This window comes from Homo sapiens, chromosome 8, assembly GCF_000001405.40.
Source record: "Homo sapiens chromosome 8, GRCh38.p14 Primary Assembly".
NCBI lineage: Eukaryota > Metazoa > Chordata > Mammalia > Primates > Hominidae > Homo > Homo sapiens.
Window position 1 is genome coordinate 91,594,255 of NC_000008.11, and position 7,272 is coordinate 91,601,526.

At 38.3% G+C, this 7,272-nt stretch overlaps 1 pseudogene, besides 1 other annotated feature; it reads left to right on the plus strand.

The window, feature by feature from the left end:
* Positions 711-948, plus strand: RN7SKP231 (RN7SK pseudogene 231; annotated as a pseudogene).
* Positions 2,790-6,939: an enhancer, noted in NCBI's record as "VISTA enhancer hs1601". NCBI's record gives its function as "enhancer in: nose[7/9]" and the evidence as "EXISTENCE:transgenic organism evidence [ECO:0001131][PMID:17130149]".

Here is a 7,272-nt window from a genome sequence, read left to right on the forward strand (position 1 = left end):
AGGTTAAACACCTATCTTATTAATAGGTCTTTGGAAAAGTAGCTACTTAAAAATGAAATAATTCATCTGGTGAATTAACTGAACCTCAAATTAGCCCCACAAGTGCTAGGTTTACGCTTTCTGTCCAAATTAATTACCTCAAAATGATAGCTTGGAATTGACCAACCATTAGTATTCAGACTTTCTTCTACTTGGTCAAGAGGGACAGAAAAAACAAACAAAACAAACAAACAAAAAAAAAACCAAAACAAAGCAGCCAAGTGCAGAATGAGAAAAGTGATTATTCTCAATATAACCACTGCAAAACAAATTCTGAAGTCTCTAGGCACAGCAGTTCTGACCTGCCTTCCATTTCTCTACAGATCCATGTAACTACACAGAGAGTATTTAGTGCTGTCATAAGAATTTTAAATGAGCTTGAGAGGCCATAAGTATACACCACCCTTGGCTGTGATGTTTGTGTAATAGGTTTTTCAGAGTTAAAATGAAAATCACATTTGTTTTTTGCTACTGTATTCATAATACACAGATATTGTATCATATAGAAACTTCAGGTGGTCAGAATATGGTAACAACAAATGCATAGTTTCAAAAAACACCAAGTAAATAATTTGTCAATAAATGAAAGAATACTGGTGTTAGTACTAAAACACTAGTCACACACAACTCAGTCTAAGTAGGAAGATGAAGTTAAAAATTGGCAGGCGGCTGGATGTGAGGGCGATCTGGCTGCAACATGTGTCACCCCATTGATTGCCAGGGTTGATTCATCTGATCCGGCTGACTAGGCGAGTGTCCCCTTCCTACCTCACTGCTCCATGTGTCTCCCTCCTGAAGCTGCACACTTGGTCGAAGAGGACGACCATCCTGATAGAGGAGGACCGGTGTTCTGTCAAGGGTATACGAGTAGCTGCACTCCCCTGCTAGAACCTCCAAACAAGCTCTCAAAAAATTGGCAGGGGGCTCAGCCTCATGACTGGGTTCCAGGGCTAGGGAGAAACAAAAGCAGCAGGGCCGGGCTCTGGAGTCGGTGAGCTCTCCCTCTGAAGACTGATTCTGCTTCCTTAACCTTCAGCTTCCTCACCAGCCATTATCTGACTTCGTTCTTACAGTCAACCTGCAATATAAGCACCCCAATTATTCAAAGTTTACAGGTTAGAAAAGTGAGGTCCAGAGAGGTTACATAGCTCACTCTGGGTAACATAGTATGATTGAGTGAGGATGGAGCAGGAGACAGACCCAGGCCAGCTGACCACGATGTCAATAACTAACAGCCCATTCAGCAGTGCCAGTAATCCTAATGATAAGATGTTGAAATTCCAAGTCTTATCTCAACACAGAATGGCATCTGTTGTTATTAAGCTTACCAATACAAGTTCAACTAAAATTCAACCCAGGTTCCTAATTATGCAGATTTGATTTTCAGAAAAGAAGTTCCTTAGTTAGAATTATAGTTTAAATTTTTAATATCACTTTTCTTGTATTTAATAACATTTTTCTGATTATTGAAGTGATAAAAATAAAGAAATAAAATTTTCACATAATTCCTGTTGATTAGAGATAAATACTTTTAGCATTTTGTTGGATTGTCCTATTGTAAGTGTGTTAAATGTATGTGTAGGTGTCTGGGTGTATGCAGGCAAGATCATAGGAAACTTACTTAGTGGCAAAGCCAGGATCCAAACCCAGGTCTACCTGATGCAAATTTTTAGCATATAACTACATACACATCAAAAAACACATATCTGCATATGTAACATGTATAAATTATATTTTACTTCACTGCTATTGCTACAAATTTGTATTATAAATATAGTCTTCAAAGACCATTTTCACATTTACATTGTCTTACAGCCACAGTGGAAATTACACAGACTCTTTTTAATTGATCGCACTGCTCATCTCAGATCTTTTATACCCATAGTCCCTAATTCTCAAATTTTTATTTTGATTTGTGATTTATTTTATGTATTAACCTTGATAAAAAGGTTAGAGCTTATATTCAAATAGTTGTTTTCAGGAACAACTTTCAAGAATAACTTAAATATTATATTTTCTGATCCTCTTGGATGTCTGAAATATTGGGTACCTACACACAGAAATGTAAATGCTAAATACATATTCTGTGTATTCCACTGGATCTCATCTCCTACCCTCTCATCTTTAATCCAAAATATCTCTTTACCATTTTCTTATCAATATATTAAGAGATTAAATCTGTCCTCTGCTTTTTTTTTTTTTTTAAATCCTTTTCTCTTATATCCAGTATGCCATGGAAAGAAAACACTTTAAGTTTTAATTACAAAATCATGTCTTTCACATTGCACAAATTTTCTTAACCAAGATTATTTTCTCTTTCTGATTTAATACTGCATTTTATTTGATTTACTATTCTCTTGTGGGTATATGAGAACCCAAGTTAGAATTTAAGAAAAGAAATCCTTGTCCTTGCAATAAATCTATTTCAAAGGAAGATGTTTGTAATCATCTCAGGCTTGTCCCTTTCTTTAGAACTGTGATATAGTTTCAAAAGCGTGCTGGTTTCTTCTTGCTCATCCTTGCATAGGGCAGTCTATGTTTACTCAAGATTGACCTAAAATAAGTTTGGAGTTGAGATTGATGTGGGTCTCTGTCCAGTTCTTTTATTTTCAAGTGAAAAAGGGGAAAAAAACACTAGATTTACCATAATTTTATTTGACTGGCTTTGGTATTCTGAGTCTGGGCGTAGTGGAAAGGAAGTTTGCCTCAGAGCACTGGGCCATCATTATAGGTAACTTTGCCTCTCCTCCAAGGTAGCATTGCAGGTTCATTATGGCCACTGCTAAGGTGCCCAAGGGCACCCTGCCCAGAAGCTGTTTGTCCAGCAGGTGTCCTGTTGCATTGTGGAATTCATGTTTTTCCATTGTGTGGTGTTTGGTCTGCTCTTGCCTCTAGCCCTTTCCTCTCTGATTTAAGGGATGCCAGTCACATATTCCTGGGTCTCCTCTATCTACTTTCTAGTACTCTTGCACTATAGGATAAACAACTGTACTCAACTCAGTGTCTTGGCCAGAAGTTCAGATGTGTGGTACACACATTTAAAAATTAAATTATAAAATATGACTTGGGAGTCAGATAACCTGGGTCTACCTTTCTGGCTATGCGTCTTTTGAAAAATTATCTGATTTTTCTGATCCTCAGTTTACCAGTCTGTAAATTGGAGAAAATGACTTTCTCCTCTGCAGGGCTGCTGTGAGGCTTCTGTGACATTGACGTGAGTCCGTGGAAAGATCTCCAGTCAGCAGCACAGTATGGTTTCCTAGTGAGCCAGATTCCTATGAGCATCCTTGTCAACACATTCCCACAACCTACCACTCCAATCAACATCCATCCTCTTCCTTACAGTTACTTTTGTATTTTGTGTGATACTTTTTTATTTTGCACAGCTCTTAGTAAGCACTTAAACTTAGTTGGTTCTCAATAAATACTTAAATCTACTATGATGGACCCAAATTTGGGTGCCTTTGGGAATGTAGTGAATCATCTTCTGAAGTAGTTTCTCATATCCTGTTTTTAATTAGCTTTTTCCCCCATGGATGCACTTTAATGGGGAAAGAATAAAAGAAATAAGACCATGGAGAGTGAGAGCCTGGGGAGTGGCTAAACTAAAGAGATGGACTAGGGAACACTCCGCGTGTGAACAACGTAAAGAGCAGGCTGTCTGGATGTCACCCCACGGCCTCTTCAGCACACGTGCCTCATTCTTTGTGAGATTAGTAGCAATGTTGTCCTGTCCTGAGAGGTCACATTAATCCCTGTCCAAAACAGCCTTGGAAATGGGAAGCCAGAGAAGGAAAAGGTGGATTTCATGAAAATGCTTCTGTCACTAAACACTTTCTGTTGCCTTTGTGCTGTATCCTGTCAGTACTCAACCATATGGTGTTAAAACACTCTCTAAAATGTGATTTTTAAAGCTACTTTGCAGTTATAATGGGTAATTGTGATCTGCTTCACAGTTAGAAACGAATGAAAGTGGCTCCTATGGTCTCACCAAACTTCAAAATGCATTAGAAGAACAGGAAGAAGGAAGGAAGGAAGGGGGATGGATGGATGGAAAGAAGGAAGGAAGGAAGCAAGGAAGGAGGCTGATCTCTAATCCCATTTCTCTGTGAATCACAGTGGTTACCTCTAATAATCTGAGTCAGAAGGGAGCACTAAGGCAGTCGCTTCAAGTCATTATTAGTCCAGCAGACTCCTGAACTGTGCTTTTATAACTGTCCCTCTCCACAGCTCCTTATTTCACCTTTAAAGATGAGTCTCTGTGTCTAGACTTCAGGGCATCTTAACTTCCTTCTAACCACAAAACTCATCTGCTACCACAACTGGGGATTGAAGAGACTCCTTATGGTAAGCACTCCAGACCTGTCAATTAGGTAGGAAATAGCCAGCATTAGCTGGAGCAGTTTGTGTTTGATTAACTGATGTTGTACATTAAGAAGAAAAAAAAAATAGAAAAAACTGCCCAAATTGGCTGGGTTATCTACATGCTTAAACATCCAGGGAGGTATTTCTCTATGTGTGCAGTAGTTATGGGGCTACCTCCCCAGATCATTCCCATAGAAGTCACAACAGTACCCTATATCTGTTAACTCCTCTCTGCTAGAAGCAGAGATATGATGATGCCAGAGGGTAGTGTTTCCAAAACACCCTGGCACAGTGCTGCTCATCCCAAGTCACACAGCTCATTGACCTCAGCTCTCTTTAAAATGAAGGGAATAGACCAGATGCCCTTCAAAGGCCTTTCTAGCTTTGACATTTTCTGGATTGATGATGCAAATTTGCTCGAACACTAGTTTGCATACCACTTGCCGTCTTTCTATGAGCAATACAAAGTTAGCACAAGTCACAGACATAACAATTGAGACCCTTTATGCTAACACTTTGGAGGGGGAAAAAAGACCCTTTATGCAAACACTTTGGAGGGGAATCTCAGACTAAGCCTACCCTCATGCAGAAGGAGGAGCTTTTACTCTCAGACCTGCATTTGGCTGTCACTCCAGGTTCTGCCTTTAATCAGCTAAGCAACAATGGCAAAGCTACTTAAAACTTTTAAACTGGTTTCCTCATTTGTAATGTGAGAGCCAGTTTGTTGTAAAGATTAGAATTCATGTATCATAGTGCCTGAAACATAGTAGGTTCTTGATCATTCATGGGCAGAAGTCTGCTCTGTGACATTGGTCAATTCCCACCCCCTCTATTCTGTTTCTTCCCCTTTCGTGAGTAAAGCAAGAGACAGATGAGCTCAGAATCAGGCCTGGTCCCTAAATTCTCTGATCATTGCAGAGCCCTAAAAGACTGCTCCTACAAAATATATTCTGTTTATTTGACACATTTCTGTCTCATTTCCTCAATTTGTGTTCTCCTACAGTTTTACTTTCTGAAACAGTTTGTTCTGTGACAAAAGGTTTGCAAAAAATACAGGGATAATTGCTAAAGTTTCTCTCTTTTTGACAGTAATTCAATGCCTTTAACAAAATTTATAATCCTTTTGTACCTAAATGTTTATAAGTGTTGTTAAACCATAATGTAAAAGTATATAAACATTTTCACATGTTCTACCAGATCAAATATGGTACGTATGATAATAATTAGAACCACCAACCTAACATATTGTGAAAAATGCCACATATGCATTTAATTACAGTTTCTGATTTTCAAGCATGCATTCAGGGAAGGGAGGAAGTGGCTTTCTATTTAACTTCTTCACTGCTAACAGAACATGCATGTGTTTTGGCAAGTTTCCTAGGGAACATCTGTCTAAAAGGGAACGTTGGGGAGTTAATCGACATCTATGGAGCTGGGCAACGGCTGTATGGCCCATGCTGTCTCCATTAAACTTCTTAACTGTGTCTCCCTTAAGCAGAGTCACAAAACATACCATTGATTCAGCTCTTTGAATAAAAAGCAAATCACAAGCAAAACTTAAACTGGTTTATTTACAGGATAGCTTTATGAAATTGGTAAACAATCGAGCCTCTTTTTCCAAAAGAATTGTTTGTAGAAGATGCCAATACTGGGGTGGGGAACAGAGTTATGAGGAGGGATTTGTAAATGGTTTGTGGGTATGTTTCCAACAGCTCATAGCAAAGGAATGAATGGAAAAACACTCCTTGGAATTGGGGGTGGGGAGAGAGAGGGCTATAAAGATGGCAAATGAAACAAACTAGCATTTTGACATTGCCTCAGTTCTGGGTGGAAGGAGCATGATGAAGAATTTGAAACATAGCCAAGAGCCCAACAATTTAGAGGAACTGGGTGGACAGACATAGTCATGGGTCCCTTAATGACAGGGATACATTCTGAGAAATGAGTCATTAGGCGATTTTGTCATTGTGTGAACAAACATCATAGAGTATGCTTACAAAAACTTAGATGGTAGAGCCTACTACTCACCTAGGTTATATAGTATACATAGCCTGTTGCTTATAGGCTACAAGGCCTGTACAGCATGTTCAGCATGTTACTGTACCAAATACTGTAGGCAATTGTAACACAAGAGTAAATATTTTTGTGTTTCTAAACATATCTTAACATAGAAATGGTACAGTAAAAATATGGTACTACAATCTTATGAAACAATCCTTGTATATGCAGTTCATGTTGACTGACACATTGTTATGTAGCTGAAGATTGTAAATAGAATGGGATTAAGTCTTTCCTTTCTCAGCTAGGTCTGATAAGGAACTCACTAATCGTTTCCAGATGAAGAAAGACTTTACATGATACAATGAGTTAATTGCTCCATGCTACTTGGAAAGTCAGCAGAGATGACAGAATTTGAACTGAATACCTTGCTCTAAATCCTGATACTAATTTTTTAAAACTGCAAGTAAAATATTTTCTTTTTTTAAAAATTAATTATACCACAACAAAGACACTGATGACTATGGGGACAGGCAAAGGGTTAGATAGAGGGCAGCCAGATAAAATACAGCACACCTTGTTAAATGTGAATTTCAGATAAATAAGAACTAATTTTTGTTTACTAAATCTGGCAATAGTAGTCAGACAATAATCTAAAATAAAAGCCACAGGCAGAAACAGGTAAGCAAGGCTAAAACAGGACTGATAAGAAAGCAAAGCTGTAAAGAGAAATCACATATGTGGGTAAAATACAGGAAGATACCAATTCTAAAGAAAGATAAAGTGATGGGAGGAGTGGGAGAATGGTTGGTTAAAAAAAAAAAAAAGTCAGGAATGAAACGATTTACAGAACCAGAAGAAGGAATTCAA